The sequence below is a fragment of the Homo sapiens genome, chromosome 1 (assembly GCF_000001405.40).
Source record: "Homo sapiens chromosome 1, GRCh38.p14 Primary Assembly".
Lineage (NCBI taxonomy): Eukaryota > Metazoa > Chordata > Mammalia > Primates > Hominidae > Homo > Homo sapiens.
Window position 1 is genome coordinate 20375406 of NC_000001.11, and position 18785 is coordinate 20394190.

At 49.3% G+C, this 18785-nt stretch overlaps 1 long non-coding RNA gene across 1 annotated transcript in view, besides 4 other annotated features; it reads right to left on the bottom strand.

Moving 5' to 3' along the window:
* LINC01141 (long intergenic non-protein coding RNA 1141) overlaps positions 1–18785 on the bottom strand; it is a 68994-nt gene that overhangs the window by 15605 nt on the left and 34604 nt on the right. Inside the window, exons 7-9 of the long non-coding RNA NR_033887.1 lie at positions 3568–3621; positions 2906–3027; positions 1976–2104 (exon numbers count right to left, since the gene is read on the bottom strand). This is a non-coding gene — a long non-coding RNA (long intergenic non-protein coding RNA 1141). The remainder of the gene's footprint in view (positions 1–1975; positions 2105–2905; positions 3028–3567; positions 3622–18785) is intronic.
* Positions 79–578: an enhancer, noted in NCBI's record as "H3K4me1 hESC enhancer chr1:20701977-20702476 (GRCh37/hg19 assembly coordinates)". NCBI's record gives its function as "activates a minimal SCP1, AML or CMV promoter by ChIP-STARR-seq in naive H9 embryonic stem cells {active_cell/tissue: H9 hESC(naive)}" and the evidence as "EXISTENCE:reporter gene assay evidence [ECO:0000049][PMID:30033119]".
* Positions 1543–1592: an enhancer, noted in NCBI's record as "active region_320". NCBI's record gives its function as "activates an Ori minimal core promoter by ATAC-STARR-seq in GM12878 lymphoblastoid cells {active_cell/tissue: GM12878}" and the evidence as "EXISTENCE:reporter gene assay evidence [ECO:0000049][PMID:35858748]".
* Positions 4657–5856: an enhancer, noted in NCBI's record as "CDK7 strongly-dependent group 2 enhancer chr1:20706555-20707754 (GRCh37/hg19 assembly coordinates)". NCBI's record gives its function as "activates an origin of replication core promoter dependent on BRD2, BRD4, P300/CBP, MED14 and CDK7 cofactors, with strong dependence on CDK7, by STARR-seq in HCT116 cells {active_cell/tissue: HCT116}" and the evidence as "EXISTENCE:reporter gene assay evidence [ECO:0000049][PMID:35650434]".
* Positions 5512–5741: an enhancer, noted in NCBI's record as "active region_321". NCBI's record gives its function as "activates an Ori minimal core promoter by ATAC-STARR-seq in GM12878 lymphoblastoid cells {active_cell/tissue: GM12878}" and the evidence as "EXISTENCE:reporter gene assay evidence [ECO:0000049][PMID:35858748]".

Consider the following 18785-nt stretch of genomic DNA (forward strand, 5'->3'; position numbering starts at 1 on the left):
CCCAGATACCAGCCTTCCTGGATCGTGCTCAAGGAATTGCCCACGAGGTTGTTCCAGAATGCCAAGTGGAACTGGGGCTCCCCTAGCTCCGGCACAGGCTGAACCACCTCCCAGCCCCTTCCAGCATCCTTAGGGTCTGCCCCACCACATTCAAGCCAAGGGTTCTCTGATCCCAATTGCTCAAAAAGAAATTCTCTAGCTCCAGGGGCTGTGCCCTTTTCGAAGCCTGTGCTACATTTTCTGGACCCTCTGGGGAAGACACCGCTGTGACCTTAGGAGAGAGGCAGCCAGGGCTGAGTCAGCCTCTGCAGCAGAGCCTGGGGGACAGGAGCATCTTTCGATGAATCAGCCCCACCATGCCTGGTGACAGACATGCTTTACCTCTGATCATTCCACCATTTTGGCACCTAACAAGCAGGGAGAGGCGGAGCAGAGCAGGCAAGAGAACAAAGAATATTTTGCGGGAGCCGGAGGCAACTGAGGACCTCTGCGGAGTGACAGGCAGACAGAAGCAGGCAGGACGGGGGGTAAGTAAGTTTCATAGCTGGGACTTGAGACATCAGCATGGCGGGAGGGACCCTAGGAGGACCCACTTCCTTCTCTGCCTTTTCTCTCTCATTTCTTTTCATCTTCTGTTTTCTCTCCCTCCCTTGCTTTCTTCTCTTTTTCCTTTATTTTGTTTTTTTCCTTCCTCCATGCTTTCTTCTTTCCTTTCTCTACTCATTAATTCATTTCTATTTTCTAGTGCTTCTTTTATCTATGTATTCAACTGATATTACTCCTGCTGAGTCCTGTGCTGGAGTCATTGGGACAAAAATGACACAACCCTGGTCCACACACACTGACCGTTACAGACCTCACCACTCTAACAGTATGGAGGCTCAGAGAACCCAGGATAGACCAATGCCCTGAGGGTGTCTGGGAAGGCTTCCTGGAGGCGGTGCCTGCCATGTAGAAGGAAGAGACCTTGGCCCAGCAAGCAAGGCAGGGTGAGCGTCCAGGCAGAGAACAGTGTGTGCAAAGCATGGCAGAGGAACTGGGCAGGAGTGGCCAGAGGTGAAAATGTAGCCAGATGGCAAGGGGCTGATATGCCGCTTGTTGACTTAACTCTGGACCAAGCACTTTGACAAGCATCTCCCTTTTACAGATAGGGAAACTGAGGCTTGGAGAGTAATGTAACTTGCCTAACATCACCCAGCCAGTAAGTTGCATAGCTGGGACTTGAATCTAGACGAAGGTGGCTCTAATAGCCATGATCTTGCCCCTTGACCACGATAAACCTCAGCTCAGGGGTTTGAAGAGGTGTAGACCACTGCCGACAGACAGGTGACCAGTGAGGCAGACTTCTGCAGTCTTCGGACACATGAGGCACTTCTCTGCTACCCACAGAGGCAAGGGGCACCTGTCCTGTGGGTAATGCCACTGGGGAAATCTGTGGCATTGTGCTTGGCCTGTCTGGGAAATGAGCCTGAATGATTTGAAGGACAGCACTCTCTCCCGAAATCCCTGTGTATTGTTCTGACTGGGCACCTCTAGGAGCCAACTGCTGGAGGTGGTGCGTGAACCACACAGCAGCCACTTGCTCCCAGCCCTGCCCTGGGTCTCTGAGAATCACAGAGTTGCAGGCAGCGTGCCCCAGGAAGGAGCCTAGAGGCATTACCACCACAGGCCTGAGGGTGGCAGTGCTGAGTGACTTCGCCCGCAGCCATCACCTCCTCATCTCTAAAGCACAAAGATTACCCTCAGCTCCTCGTGGCTGGTGTCTCCTCTTTGCTCGACAAAAGGTGGGGGCACCCTGGGGGAGAGGGCTTTGGAGGCAGAGCCTTGAGTCCAGGTCCCAGCTGTGTGACCTCACCTCTGGGAACCTCAGTTTCCTTGTGTGTAGGACCCTGATGATAACATCTCCCTCAATACCTAATGAAAGCAAATATTTATGACATCTACTTGAAATAACACAAATTAAGCACCAACTTACCAAGTTGCACTTATTCATTTATTCAGCAAGCAGGTATCAAGTATCTATATGTGCCAGGCACTCACATGGGGGTAGCGGTGGGACACCCCAGATACCAGAAGCAACAAGGTTCCTGATTTAATGGAGCACCTATGCCGGAAGGGGAATGGAGTGACAAAGAATAAAACTGAGTACTGTAAAGGCAAGTGGCTGGGAAGCTACTTGAGGCAGGGTGATGATGGAGGGCTTCTCTGAAGAGGTGATAGCAAGGAGCCAGTCAGGCAAAGACCACGGGAGGACATTCTGCAGAGGGAACAGCACGTACAAAGGCCCTGAGGCAGGAACAGGCTTGGCGTACATGAGCCTGGTGAGGTTGAAAGATGGCAGGATGGTGTGGGGAGAGTGGCAGGGGCTGAGGTTGGAATGGTGAGTCCGGCCAGCTCAGGACGGGTTCCCGGAAGGCCCAAGAAAGGAGTGTGACACATAGCAGGAGGTTAATGTTAGTAGCTGTGGGTATGATCTCCTGGTCCCATGCCCTCATTTTCTAGCTAGGGAAACTGAGTCTGGCCTATCAGACTTATCTTTTTCCTACAGGTGGGCTCCTTTCTGGCCTGTGCAACTGCCAGTCCCTCTGCTAATGGCCCAGATGCCGAGGGCCCCTGCGCCATCACAGCTCAGGTCTTCAGTTCTGAATGAGATAAGTGGAGCCCCAGCCTCCACTAGGCCTGGCACAACTGCCTTTCCCAGCCACCTCCAGCCCTGCCAGTTTCACCGGCTTCAAAACTGTAAGATGGCTGGGTGTGGTGGCTCACACCTGTCATCTCAACACTTTAGGAGGCTGAGGCAGGAGGATCGCTTGAGGCCAGGAGTTTGAGACCAGCCTGGGCAACACAGCAGAAGCCTGTCTCTACAAAAAAATACAAAAATTAGCCAAGTGTGGTTGGTGCTCACCTGTAGTCCCAGCTACTTGGGAGGCTGAGATAGGAGGATCACTTGAGCCTGGGTGTTCAAGGCTGCAATGAGCTATGTTGGCACCACCACACTCCAGCCTGGGCAGCATATTGAGACTCCATCTTAAACAACAACAACAAACTATAAGATGATGGCTATCAGGAGAATGACCACCTCTCTCAACACCTGCACCACCTGTAAGCTGTGCTCATGTGTGACCCCTCAGGCCCTCTCCAAGAATAGCTGGGACAACTAGGCCCTTTCTGTCAAATGCCTACAATGCTGTTATTCAGGGCTGTCCCCCAAGAACCACCGCATCCCCACGTTCAGCAGTCTCTCCTCTCTCTGTCTCTCGCTATCTGTTCTCTCCCTCTTTCTCTTCTCACTCCTCGTCTCCATTCTCAATCTCTCCTCCATCTCTTCTATTTTACCTTCTTCCTTGTCTCCACCCCACTCCTCTTCCCTCTCTCTTCTCTAGATTGACTAATTCGTTTGTTGGATGGTTGACTGAATGATTGATTTCTCTCTCTCTCGGTTCCCAACAGATTTCTAGAATGCCTAAAACTCAGGGTCCACTATTGTATTAGTCTGTTTTCACGCTGCAGATAAAGACTACCCAAGACTGGGTAATTTATAAAGAAAAAGAGGTTTAATGGACTCACAGTTCCACGTGGCTTGAGAGGCCTCACAATCACCGTGGAAGGCAAAAGGCACATCTTACATGGTGGCAGGCAGGAGAGAAATGAGAGACAAGCAAAAGGGGCTTCCTCTTATAAGACCATCAGATCTCTTGAGACTTATTCACTACCATAAGAATGGTATAGGGGAAACTGCCCCCAGAATTCAATTATCTCCCACCAGGTCCCTCCCACAACATGTGAGAATTATGGGAGCTACAATTCAAGATGAGATTTGAGTGGGAACATAGCCATAGCGACCATATCAACGATGATCCAGTCCAGGTTTTCGGGTGGCCAGGGTCAGCCCGGGAGCTGACGTCCACAACCCCAGAAGAGGAGAGGGCTGCCAGGGAACCAGCACTGGAAAGTCCACCAAGAGAGTTTCTTTCCACAGTGCTGTAGACAAACATTGAGATGGGGGGCAGTGAGCTCAAGGTGTGTCCCCCAGCAAGTGTCTGCAGGGCGGCACCCCACCCCGATGCTGCCCCCTTACAAGCAGAACCACCAGCTTCCAGGAGTGTCCAGGGGCAACCAGGCAAAGTCAGAATCATCTTGGGAGCTTATTGAAAATACAGATCCCCAGGCCCACCAAGAATTACTAAACTGCATTTTCCAGGGCTGGAGCCCCAGCAACTAGAATTTTAATAGACAGTGGGAACTGGGGAAGCCAAAGCTGGGTGAGGGCTGGAGAGAAGGGAGTTGGCTCCCTACTTTGTCCTTCACCAGATCACTATTGGGCATCTCCTATGTGCCAGGCAGTGTGCTCAGAGCTGGGTATACATGAATGAAGAAAAGAGACACAGTGCCCACCCCTGTGGAGCTCACTCTGCTGGGATCCTGGCCGGAACCATAATGCTCCCAGGCTCCATGTAATCCTGCTCTGTCCATTTCCCCTGCCTGCCACCTGCCCTCTTTCCCCACCCCCCAGCCCCTTGGCCCCTAATGCCAGCTGCACCAGCCTCACCTGCTTCCTTGAGTGTCCTGTGCCCTTCCTACTACCAGGCATTTTCCACACAGCTCTGTGCTTGAAACCCACCCCAACCCCACAGCTGCCCCATCTTTACCTCATTAAACTCACTCATCCACCAGAAGCATTAGGAGTGGAATGGAGAAAGGCTAGATTCTGAAGCCAGAGGGCCTGCGTTCGAACCCTCACCCTGCTGCTTATTAGCTGTATATTATTGGAAAATGCACTCAATCTTTCGGTGCCTCCGTTTCCCAATCTGTAAAATAACAAGAGTTCTTATCTCATAGGGGTAAGGAGGAAATGAGTAAATATGTATGAGTGAAGCACTAGGAACAGCGCGTGGCCCTGCGGATAACAGAATATTGAAGAACTGATACCACACAGGTTACAGCCAGCTAACAAAGTTAACAACCAGTGCTGCAGCTGCAGCCCAGCCCACCCAGCACCATTAGCACTCTGTAAGTGTTATCACTGGGATGCCCAAAACCCACTGGCCAGTCCCTGTTCCACATTCTCTCAGCAGCCCTTGCTTCTTTGGGGGTAGAGCTTAAAACTCTGTGTAATTGTTTCCATTCGTGTAACTACTGGAGTCACATCTGTCTTCCCTTCTTCCCCATAAGGGCAGAAACCACATCTACTCTGTCCTCACCACTGCCACCCCGCTTCCCAGCACAATGCCTGACACTTCGTGGGAGGCCAAAAACTATTTGTTGAAAGAGCAAATAAATGAAGGAATCAAGTGTAACCCTCTTAGAGCCTGGCCATTTCGCCTCCTCCTTGAAGTCAACCTCAGCATGAGTCACATTCACAGAAACATTCATCTCATACCCAGAGATCATCAAAAGACCAGCTGAAGGCTTTTCTGCAGTCCTTGAGAGAATGCCAAAAGGTGGGGTTGCATTCACCGCTCAGGAAACAGCTCAAAATCCTTCCACTCTCGCTCTTGCCTGCTCCAGCCTCTCGGGAAAAGGGCCAGTCTGCTACTCCAAGAGAACACGCGGACTGAAGTGCTGTCCACGCGGTGTTCAGATGGGGCTCTGGAGGCCATGCCATGTGATCCCTCGGTGAGGAAAGGATTCCCTGGCCAGCCATGGGGAATATGAACTCCTGAAGATGAACAAGAGCTCTCAGCCCCCTCCCCCAGGCCCACCCAGCTGTCCTGAGGTCCCCTTGGAAGAGACCAAAAGAGAAGAAGCAACAGGGGGCCAGAGACCCCCAGGCCCCCAACCACCATATACCACATAAACCAACTGATGAGGAAAGAAGGTCCTAATACAGGCACTTCCCCTTTCATTCTTGATAAACTCAGAGTCCAAACAGCCCTCACAGAATGACTGCAATGTCAGGGAACTGAAAAAGAAGAGCTTACTCTCTCCCTTCAATAAGTTTCTTCCCTTCTCTGAGCCTCAGTTTTCTCCATCTGTAAAAGGGCTGCTAAACTTCCTTCCAGCTGGAAACCAAGATGGCGGTCTTGGCAAACCTGGCACAGCAAGAAAAATTGGCCTAGGGCATAGGCAGGAGGAGTTAGAGAGACAGCCAAGTCTTCCTTTGAGTCAGTCAGAAAGACAAGAAGGCTTTTTTTTTTTTTTTTTTTTGAGATGGAGTCTTGCTCTGTTGCCCAGGCTGGAGTGCGGTGGCGCACTCTCGGCTCACTGCAACCTCTGCCTCCCGGGTTCAAGTGATTCTCCTGCCTCAGCCTCCCGAGTAGCTGGGATTACAGGTGCGCACCACCACATCTGGCTAATTTTTGTATTTTTAGTAGAGACGGGGTTTCGCTACGTTGGCCAGGCTGGTCTCAAACTCCTGACCTCTGGTGATCCACCAGCCTCGGCCTCCCAAAGTGCTGGGATTACAGGTGTGAGCCACCACACCTGGCCAAGAAGGCTCTTACATGACCGAAAAGCTTAGGACAGATTTTATCAAAATGTTTGTATTATAGGAATGCCTCTAGATCGAGGTCTTAACCAGAAGTGATCTCTCCCATGGCCCTCAGGGTAGTTTACCTTATCTCTCGAAGACACACCTGTAGGCTGTGTTGTATTAATTATATGTCTGATCTCCTTGAGAAAGCTGTAAAGATCCCTGTGGTCAGGAAATACACTCATTTTTGTGTCCCTGGTACCGTATCCTATGTGCTAATGAACACTCATTAAATGTCTGCTGACTTGAGTTAAAAAAAGAAACAAAAACCACTTGCTGTGTGATGTTGAGCAAGTTTCTTAACCTCTCTGAGCTTCAGTTTTCTCATCTGTAAAACAAGAATTTAAAATGTACCTGCCTCTAGGGTCATTTGAAGGATTAGTAAAGTCACACACATAAGGGGCTTAGTTCTACATCTATCATAGATAAAGCTCTCAATAAATGTTAGTAATTAATAGTATTAATTGTGATTGTAATGAATGTGGTGTGGTGAAAATGATGGTTATGATGATGTGGTAATGTTGAACATGGAGATAATGATGGTGGCTATGCAGATGGCAGTGGTAATCATGGCAGCGAAGTTGGTAGTAATAGTGATGGTGGTAATGATTGTGGTGATGGTGGTGACGATAGTGGTGGTGGTGATGACAGTGGTAGTGGTGATGGTGGCTATGGCCATGTGATGGTGGTAATGCTGGTAATGGTGTCAGTGATGAAGACAGTGATGTGATGTTGATAGCCTTGACTGGGTCAGCTCAGGTTAACCCAGAATCAGGTCCCACACTGGCTCCTTGGGTCCAGCCAATAGTTGGCCACGCAGACACTTGGAACCCTGACAAGGCCTTCTGGCCTCAGTACTGCTGTTGAGGCGGAAGCAGAAAGCAGACACCCACACTCAATAAGAGGCTGGGATGTTTCATATGGCATGTTCTGCCAACAAAAGGTGAATGTAATAATTTTGAAAGGAATATTTGTGCACTGGAGCTGAGGAACAGCCATTTAATACGGTGCTCGGCAGGGGAGGAGAGGCACGTGGGCAATAATAAATATGTATCCATTACACCCAGGAGGGCGGCGGATGCTCGTGTGGATCAGAGGCTGGATGCTGTTTGTTTGGGAAGGGATTGCCTGCAGAAATAAACCACAAACCTTTATTGGGAACCTACTGTGTGCAGGTCTGCTTCTGTGAAGGGCACGGCTAAGCATGAAACCCAGCTGTAACCTCTGAAAAGCTAAACGCAGGGAAGGGAAGACAAAATATATAGAATAAAAACTCTGGCACCTGTCCATTCATTCAATAAATGCACACTAAATACCTAGTCTGTATCAGCCCTGTGGTACGCACTGGGAATACTGAAATAAAAGAAAGCCTCCGTCCTCAGGGAGCTCCCAGCCTGGAGGGGAAGACAAATGAGTAAATAAATATGCACCTAACAGTGGGCTGCATGCCACCTGGGTCCATCACCCATCCAGGGCTCACAGTCTGCCAGGCATCGTCTCACTCATCTCATTATGTTAGTCTCATAACACATTATGTTAGCCTGTAAAGTTGGTGCCATTATGATAGCCACTTTACAGAGCAGCAAACTGAGACCCAGAGAGGTTAAGTAATTTGCTGCAGATCACTGAGCTCCTAAGTGGAAGAGTCAGGATTTGAACCCGGCCCTGGGAGACTCTTAGGCACCCTGCTGGTTCATGAGAGGGAGGGTTCAACTCTGCCCAGAGAATCAGGGGGGAGGGTTCACAGAGGAGACCCCTGAGCTGGTCACAAAGGACAAGAAGGGGTGTGCTGGAGGCTGGGATGTGGAGGGTGGGCAAGGCTTGAGCAGAACAAGACTTTCTAAGAGGGGCAGCAGCAGAAGCAGTGGTGTAGAGGTGAGAAAGCCTTTGGCACTCCCACGGGACAGTGAGAAGACCAAAGTGGCTGCAGCTGAAAGGTGAACGAGGTATTGAAGCTGCTAAATTAGGAGTGGGAGCCAGGTGCAGACAACTGTACTGAGAAAGCTCAGCTCTGAGCTTCCACTAGACCGGCAGTGCATAAACCAAGTAGACTCTCTGCCCTCCAGCTCCCTGGCCCTGAAGAAAGCCAAATCCTTCCTGGGCCCCAGATTAGCACTCCACTTTCAGATAGGACTGGTGAGGTGAAAAGAACATGAGCTTTAGACATAGGCATGCCTGGGTTAAAATTCCACCCCCGACCCACACTACCTGTGCAATTGGGACAATGTATCTAACCTCTCTGAGCCTCAGTGTTCTCATCTGTAAAACGGGCTCAATAATACATACCTTAGTTTTGTGAGAGTTAAACAGTGTAATGCTAGTAAAAGAGAAAAGGCTCACCTAAGGTCTGGCATCCAGTAGATGTTCATTAAAAATAGGTCCCTTTTTCCTTTCTCCTGCCTTCCCTTCTGGTTTTCCCAGTTCCTATACAGCATGCAAATCATAATGCACATTACTCCTGGAACAAGCCTGAGAATCCTTTGTGGGTGCTGTCTTGGAATTCAGAAAATACAATTCCCATATAGGGAGGATGCAAGTTTAATACACATAGTAAAGGAAGGTGCTCTTTGCATTCCCCAATGTTCTGCTTACTCTTAGGTTAGAAATAAGTCTAAAACACTAATCTATAGACAGATGAGGCCAGGTGCTTCTGTAAGGTGCAGGATGCAGGGAGCCCCCCTTCCTGTGGCTGGGGGACTGGGGGTGGAAGGACACAACACCCCTATCTGCCTCTTCCCTTCTGCCCAACTACCACTAGGATGCTTGAATGGAAATGCAAATTTAACCATATTCAATTCCTTTCTTCACCCCCAAACCTGGATTCCCCCAGCCCCACGTTCACCACTTCAGTCAATGGCTCATCTTCCCGTCCAGAAGTCTAGCGGTCATTGTCAACACCTCCTCACACCCCTGTCCTCCATCTACCACTAAGCCTTGCTTATGTCACTGCCTGATGATCTCAGGTCACTTTCGTGACCCTAACTCAAGCCCTTGCCTTGTGTCACCTGGACAACCCCCACAGCCTCCCGATTGGCGTTCTCATTTCTGCTCCACCCCTTCTCCACACGCTGTTAATGTCACTTCCTCGCCTTGTGTTTCCCACTGCTCTCAGAATAGAGGCACCACTGTCTTAAAGACAATCTTCCGTAACGGGCCAGAAAAGTCCTGAGGAGTCGGCCCCACCTTCCTGCGTATTCTCACGTCACACCCTTCTCCACTCAGTCACACTGCCTTCCTCTCCCTCTGCACACTCATCCTGCTCCTTCCCACCCCAGGGCCGTTGCACATACTGTTCCTTCTAAGTGGAAAGCTCTTCTTGGCCCTATTTGTCTATATAACATCTCAGTGGAAGGACGCTTTCTCTAGGAAGTCATCCATGACCTTCCAGACCAATTCTGAGCTTCCATGTAGCACCACATATGTCTCTGTGTAGCACTTATCTAGACCGTAATTGTACATTGATTGATGTGGTCATTTGATTAAAGCCAGTCTCCCTGAAACCCCCAGAGGGCAGGGAACATGGCTAGTTTCACTCCTTCTAGAACCAAGGGCCTGGTACATTGTAAGCACACAATGAATAGAATCAGATGAATGAATAAAGGAGGGAAGGAATGAATGAAGTGATGCTTCTGTACCCTCCTCCCCCGATCTTCAGTAAAACCTAGACTCATACAAAGGCAGACGGAGACACTAAAAGTGACCTTCCCATGTCACACAGCAAGTATAATTGAACTAGACCCAGAGCAATCCAGGCTTCCTTACTGGAATGGCTTTCCCAGACCTGCTGACTTGGGGTCTAAGTTCCACAGTGGGGAGGGGTGCAGGAAGGAGTGAGTTGGAGGAGCATCAAGGGCCAAAGGAGGGAAGAGTTTTATAGCTCCTGGTCTCTGCGCACCTGGGCTCTAATCCAGGCTGCAAAGCACCCTGGCGAGAAAAATGTGTTTTCTGCATGTTATGCTGGGCCCCGCCGACACCATATGCAAATGTATGCAAATTATGTGCAAACACAGTCTCTGGTTTAGATGAGAAAAACCAAAAGCCTGGTATCAGGGGAGCCATCTAAGACTAAACCAAGCTGGCAGGCCCTCCTGGCCCGCAAAGCTCTGACGCAGCCCTGCTGGCTACACAACTAAAATGGGGTGCAGGTGTAAGCAAGTGGGAACAACTCCCCCAGAGAATCCCCCACCTTCTGCCCTCCAGAAACACAGACCATCAACCCCAGGGGACTTGGCTGCTGTGAACTTTGGGCTATTTTTCCTGAAGTGGGCTTACTCCCCAGGCCATCCTCAGCACAGCTGTAAAAGGGTGTGCTCTGGGGGCCACTCTGCAGCCCCCACAGAAATGTCTCCATCAGTAGTGACTTTGCATGACCTCACTCTTTGGTCTGTGTCTGAATCGCCTGGGATGCACACTCAAAAACAGATTCCGTGGTCACCTTCAGAGGTGGAACTTGCAGGTCGGGGAAAGCCTTCCCCTTCTTGGCTGACGAACTCCTGTTCCTCCCTCCTGGAGATGCAGATCTAAATGTCCTGTGAAGCGCACCCTCAGGCCCCCTCACTCTCTCCAAGTACCATGGGCCTCCTGCCTTCCTTGGTGATCCCACAGCCCTGGATACCCCCAGTCACAACACTGGGCCTACTGGGGGCAGGAGTTTGTGTAAGGGTTTGTCTCTCCCACTGCACTGGAAAGGCTCGGAGGTACATGACCAATAGGAAGGGTTTTGTGAGTGAATGAATGAATCAGCAAACCAATGAATGAATGTGAGTGAAAGGGAAGCAAGGAGAGAATGCATGTAGCATCAATGATCTCTTCAGGAAAATTCCAGAGGGTCTGAGAGTGCTAGTAAGGCACAGACAGCATGGGCTGGGCAGATCTGGCCTCCTGCTCCCAGGTGCCTCAAGGGCCAGCCCTGCCTTGGCTGACATCTTCCCTGGCTCCTGTTCCCCCTGCCCCCCACCTCCCAGCATCAGCCTAATCGGCTGTCAGCACCAAAAAGAGCTGTTCCTTGAAACCTCACAGCCCATGATTGGATCTATGGCAGCTTCCTAAGCCGCTCAGTGGTTCCCATGGCAACCCGGCTGGTACCAGACTGGCAGCGGGCCACCTGGAGGAGATGGGGGGAGGAGGGGAAGAGGGGCAGACATGTGTGGGGTGGCTGCCCGAGGCAGGGCTGAGGGGGAGGAGGAAGGGAGAGGCAGAGAGAATAGAGAAACTCAGAGAACCCTGGAGAGAGAAGAACAGGAGTTACAGGGACACTGACATGAGTGGGGGGCTGCAGGGGCTGGGAGAGATGGAGAGAGGTCAGATGGAGGAAATTCAAGGAGGCTGGGAACTTGGGAGACGGGGAGAAGGTGGGAACTTGAAATGGGGCAATACGGGGATGATGGGAGTGGAGGGAGGGGTCTAGAGAGCCATGGGAAACTGGGCAAGAGGTAGGGCAGACCAAGACCAAGGGGGATGAGGGCAGAAGGCAGAGAGGGCCTGGTCAGGCTGCAACTGAAGCAGGAAGCCAGAGGCCTGCAAATTGGGGAAACTAAGGCAGAAAATGGCCTCTGACCCTGCCCCACACGACACACAAATCAGGAAAGGAGGCGGACAGAATCACTGCCCACGAAGCCTCCAACCTCAGCCCATGTCCAGGCTTGGTGCCTTGGCATCACCGTGATAGAGCCTGGCAGAGGACTGTCTTTTTTGACACTCTAAAGGCCAAGGAGCCTCAGCAAAAAGCCCCTACATGACTAAGGTGCCTCCGATCATGATGAAATTGGACTCCAGGAGGAAGCTCTGCCACCCCTCCCAAGCAAACAGTGACGCTGACAAAGAAACGAAATGGTACCTTCAATGTGCAGGGTCAGCCTACAGATGCCCGCCCCAGAGAACCGACTGTCGAGGCCTGGGAGATATGGTTTGGGGTTGCCTTGTCGGGAAAAGGCAGCCAATAAGAGGTGACAGACTGGAGATTAGGAATCCCAGCACTGCTTCAACTCACTGATGGCCTTGGACTCACTTGCAGTCACTCCTTTGTTTAAGTCAGATGAGGTACCCGGCAGGAGCTGTCCATGTGCAACTGCCAGGAGCCCAACTCAGAGTGGCTGAAGCCAAAGGGAAAAGAATTTGCTCATGAAATTGACAAGTCCAGCCATGGATCCAGGAGCTCCAAAAATGTCCTCAGGGACCCCTTGCCTCTTGACTTCCTTCTTGGTCATTTTATTCTCAGGCGAGCTTTCCCCCTGAGGAGGCATGCGGTCACCAGCAGCTCCAGGCTTATACCCTACCCCAGTAGAAGGAGCCACTTTGTTCCTAATGGTACCAGGAAAAGTCCTAGGATTGCTCATTGGGCAGGGTTGGGTCTCATGCTCATCCCTGCAGAGTGACAGTGACAGTGCGCCCTCCTGCAACAAGTCACGTGCCAGGGACTTCTCTAGGAACATGTATGTCTTAACCCACTTAATCCTTAAAAAGGTCAGGACTACTGCTATTTACATTTCATGGATGAGGAGATTGAAGCACAGAAAGCTTATATAACTTGTCCATAGCTAATGAGTGGTGCAGCTAGAATTCCAACCCAACCCAGATGGTGTGGCTTCATGGTCCAGGCTCTCAAGTACACAAGGGTCACATGGAGGGCTTGTGAAAGCACAGAGTCCTGGGTCCCAGCTCCGAAGCTTCTGATTCTGGAGCTCAGGGGTGGGACCTAGGAATTCGATGCTATCTGCAGACCATGCTTTGAGTGACACTGAACTACCCTCAGGTGCTTCTCATGAGCAGCTACTTGCTTCAGCTGCTTGCGCCAATCACAGTGACTCTGATTCGCCACACCTGGGTCCCACGGCCAACCAGGTATGGGGGAGGTGGGGAATCAATACCTAAGCCATATGGCCCAAAAATGAGGGAGGGTGGATGTAAAGGAAGAAAACGTGTTCTGTAATCAGAAGGGATGCTTGAGCAACTTGGCACCCTCACTGTGCTTTGATTTCCTTATCTATGATATGAGGATAGTAATAGTACTTCCTCATAGGATTGTTGTGAAGATGAAATTAGTTGATACTTGTGAAGCACTTACAGTTGTCCCTGGAACATAGTAAGTACCCAATAAAAATTGGATACTCACTTAATGTACATTAGCATGAACACACACATATACAAGAACACAAAGGCACCCAGCCACTCACTTGCAAACACACACGTGAGGACGCAAACATATGCAGGACACACACAACACAATTTTGGGCATGTGGTCATATACAAAATCTCAAACACATATAACGACCCACCCGTGAACACACAAATGGTTACACGCTCAAAAGCCTTGGAACACACAGTAAGCTGGCCCGAGTTTGTTCTCCCAGATCCTCTGAGTCCACTGCCACTCTCTGCTCCTTCGAATAAGCTCTCTTTGATGAATATCAGGAGGAGGAGCAGGGCTGGAGCAGGGCAGCCTCCTGCCTAAGAGCCAGACCAGATGTTTAAATCAGACAGTTAGGTTTAGGATTGTTTCTACCAATTACTGGTTGACTTTCAGCGAGTTAACTTCTCTGAGCCTGTTTCCACCTTCAAAAAATGAGGATGATGAAGTACCCACTCCTTGTGGTTGTGAGAATTCACAGGGTAAATTCCTTTATGCCTTGGAGCTATAGAAAGTGCTCAGCGAGAGTTAGCTGTGCCTATTGTTTTATTATGACAATCATCTCTGGTTTCTGGAGTGGCCTCCAGATGTGGGCAGGAATCAATGCATGTTTAGAAAAATGGCCAGGATTGGGTCAACCCTCAAAGCTACCACAGAACCAGGTCCCCACCTACCGCCGAAGCAGTGGAGGCCGCGGCAGCACTGAGTGACTGCCACCGTACCAGAGCTGCAGCGCGCACAGCCGGCCCAAGAGCTGTTGACAGCTTTCTGCAAGCACTCACCATCTCCCTCTGCAGCTACGAATGGCGGGGTGGTGTTTGTAAATTACAGCAATATGTAATTTTTATTCAGTGATTTGTGTAAACTTACAGGATCCATAGCGGGTGTGGGCAGACATGATTTGCATTGCCAAATGGCCTTCTCTGTGGGCAGGAAACAGGCAGCCTGGCTTGGTAGGTCTGCCTGAAGTCATCAATGACAGCTCCACATTCAAGGACAGTAGGTGTTAGGAACAAGGTGGCATGCAGGACAGCTCTCCAAAGCCCTCCTAAAGCCAGGCTCCAGCTCCTGCAGACCCCTCCTGCCACCCCTTTCCACCCTCCCCGGCACTTGAGCCAAGTGGTTAAGAACCCAGGCTTTGGAACCAAACAGACCAGGATTCAAATCCTAGCTCTACTACCTCCTCCCCTCATGGCCTTGGGTGAGTCACATCAGCTCCTGGGTCCTCAGCGCATCCTTGGGGAAGCAGAGCAAATAAAAGAGCCTGCCTCGGCTGGGTGTGGTGGCTCACACCTGTAATCCCAGCACTTTGGGAGGCCGAGGCAGGTGGATCATGAGGTCAGGAGATCAAGACCATCCTAGCCAACATGGTGAAACCCCATCTCTACTAAAAATACAAAAATTGGCTAGGTGTGGTGGCACACGCCTGTAATCCCAGCTACTCCAGAGGCTGAGGCAGGAGAACGGCTTGAACCTGGGAGGTGGAGATTGCAATGAGCCAAGATCACGCCACTGCACTCCAGCCTAGCATCAGAGTGAGACTCTGTCTCAAAAAAAAAAAAAAAAAAAAAAAAAAAAAGAGCCTGCCTCATAGGGTGATTGGAGAACAGAGAGATAAACATACACTGTATGTGCACGGGCATATACAAGGGCTCAGGATACAGTAGCTAGGATCCTGACCAGTATTGGCTCCTCAGTGGGTACTGCCCTCTCTTCACCCCTTCTTCCCAGAAACAATCACCAAGTCTTGGCCCCAAGACACCATCACCCATTGGCACCTGCAAGCTTCACTTGGCATAGACCTCAGGAAACAACAGCAGCAGTGTATAAACTATGAGAGGTATGACTCACTTTTGTGTTTTTAAAACACTTTGAGCACTAAACCGAGATCCATGAGGACAGAGCATTTGTCCTATCTACTGTTGTACCTTAGCTTCTAGAACAATGCCTGGCACATAGTAGGCACTCAATAAATATTTGTTGATATATTTACCCACTCATTCATTCTATAAACATTACTGAGCATCTCCTATGATCCAGACGCTGTGAGCACAGACAGAAATCAAGGATGGCAGTGGGAGGGAGGTGCCAGAGGCGAGGCTGAGATGAAAGGTGGAGACTTCTCCAGGAGGCCTGGCCCCCTCACTGCCCCAGGCTTGATTTTAACCCTGAAGAGCTACTTGAAATCTCTACGCAAAGGAAGAGGCATTTGAAAGTCACTGCCTCCCACATTATGTAGTCATTCAAAAAGTTTTTGTTACCCAGCCCTAAACCCAACAAGGATGCCAGAGAGCCTGACTAGGTACTCTCTTCTTTGGGAACTTTTGGCTTTTGAGTACAGCCCATTCAGATCATTCCATCTGCTCCCTGCACCTTAGAGTTAGCATAAACTGGGTTAATAAGTACCTAATCTAGGTGTTTTGCTCATGAGAGTAGCTGTGTCCCATCTGTTCCCCAGCTCTCTCCAAAACTGGCATGATGGCACTGAGAGGTGACTTCTTGAAGTGCCCAGGCCCCACTTATTCAGCCTGCTTAAGTTCTAGTGAGCTTCCAGCAGGCACTTGGGCTGTTCATATAAGTTAACCTCCTCTCCCTGGCAGCTGTCACGAAAGATAGTTTTCAGTCTAACATCTTGAGGCTGCCATTCAATGACCACGTACAATCTGGCTCTAACCTCACATGGATGGATGGGATGGATGGATGACTGGATAGGTAGGTGGATGGATAGACAAATAAACTGTTGACTCTATCTCTCCCTCTCCCCTCTCAATGGGTCTGCCCCTCTGGGCATGAAAACCTGCACAATCTGCCCCCACCCCTGGATGGATGGGCAGATGGGTAGATAGATGAATGGGTAGGGATGGGTGGGTGAGTGGATGGATAGATGGGTTGATGGGTCAGTGGATGAACTGTTGACTCCCAGATCTCTTCTTTCTTCTTGGTGAGCCTACCCCTTTGAGCATGAAAACGTATGCACCACTGTCTTGAGGGTTCCCTACAGGTTACTTATCCAGAACCCCAGAAGGGTAAGCCTCCAACATTTCCCCATTCTTGGGGAATGTCCAGTCCATAACAGCTAGTGAAATAAGTGATGTAACACAGAAAAACATTCATTCACTCATTCATTCTTTCTTTCTTTCAACAAACATGTATTGAGGACTTACTATGTGCCAGGCACTCTGTTAGGCATGGAGTGATAAACCAACCACTTAGTGGCTTCAGGAACCTGAACAGGATCAGCAGTAAAAAGAAAACGCCTGCATTCCTCCACATTCTCATATACACAGGTTTGGATTTATACATTTATCCAAATGCCTAAACCCCCTTCCCCTTCTCCCATCCCTCTTAGAATTTCCCCCAACCCAACCCCAGGGATGGTATCTCCCTTAGGGTTGTTTATACTATCTCTAGGTGGTATCACAGGGAAGTCTTCTTCCAGGCCTAAATTAAGCTTGTACACTCATTGCCTCCTATTACTATTATTCCATGTGCAGCGGTGGATGTGCTGTGCTGAGCTGCTTTGCTCTTATGGTAATAACCCTAATACCAAGGGCATGCCAACCATAGTATGCTTCTCTAATCAAAACCTTGCAAACAATCAAACATTTACTTTCTTGTTTCATCCTACAGATGCCAAATTATATTCAACTGATCTATCTCTTTTTACTTTCTAACCAAGCCTTGTTTCTCTTGGCTTAGCTCTACTTATTTTGTTAAACACTGTAGAGAACCAAGTTCTCTTGGTTCTGAACCAAGAGACGTTCCATAACCATCTGGTTCTGAACCAAGATGGAGTAGATGCATGTCTCCCTATTCCTCATGCTAAGTACAGCTAAAAATCTTGGACATTGTATCTAAAACAAGCAAAGTAGACTCTGAAAGGTGGAGAGAAGAAGGAAGACTGGCTAGGAACTTCTGAAGCTAAGGGATGACACAGTGGTGAGTTCCTTGAGTTCTCTGATTATTTCATAGATCTCAGGCTGAATGCTGGAGAAGCCAGCAATCTGGAAATGCCACTGGGAGCAGATTTAAAAGCCCCAAGGAAATCTTGTTGTCCCTAGTCAAAGGACCAGAAAGAGCAAGAACCTAGTACATAGAAAACTTCTAAATGATTACCACTCCACCCTAGCCAAACATCAAAGGGAAGTAATGTGGCCCAACCTAAAACCCCTTCAGCAAAGGCCAAGTAGAGAGCCTAGGCCTCTACCCCCACCAAAGTGGTATCAGAGAAGACTCAATGGAGAGCCAGGACTTTCATACCTGCCAGGTAGTAGTACCCCCTCTCTCACCCCAATCCTGGAGTCAGTGGAGGCCACATTAGAATTGTGGACTTCCACCCCTGCCCATTGGTAATGAGGCACCCCCTACCCTCCCTACTGGTGTGGTATTAGAGGAGACTGAGTGGAAATCATAACCTTCCTCATAGTCATGAAGCCTTCTCCAGCTCCAGTATCAGTGGAGACTATGTGGGGAGCAATCATGAGGTACCCCTTCCCTCCCAGCTGGGGCTGTGTCAATGGAGATCTAGTGAAGAGCCTGAAATCCCACCTCTTCCCAACAGTAGCAAGCCATGTCTCTCATTTGGGGTGTCAAATGAGGATGAGCGGGGAACCTGAGCTCTCATTTGCCTGGCAGTAATGAGAAGTCATTTCCCTTCCCCCACGGGCATGGTGTCAGATTTAAACAAGATGTAGAATCTCATAACACCCAAAATGTTCAAGATATAACTGAAAATCATTCATCATACCAAAAACCAGGAAGATCTCAATTTGAATGAGAAAAAACAATCAACAGATGCCAACACTGAGAAGACACAGATGTTGGAATTATCTGACAAATTTTAAAGCAGTCATCATTAAAAAAAAAATCATTGAACAAGCAATTCCAAAACATTTGAGACAAGTGAAAAAATAGAAAGTCTCAGGAAACAAAAGATATAAAGAAGAGCCAAATGGAAAATTTTAGAATTGAAAAATATAATAAACAATTTTTTAAAAATACAATGAATGGGCTCAGCAGCAAAATGGAGAATAAAGAAGAAACAAGCAATGAATTTGAAGGTAGAACAATAGAAATTACCTAATCCAAAGAAGAGAGAAGATAGACTGAAAACAAATGAGCCTCATGGACCTATGGGACTATACCAGAAGATCCAACATTCAAGTAATCAGAATCCTACAAAAGGAG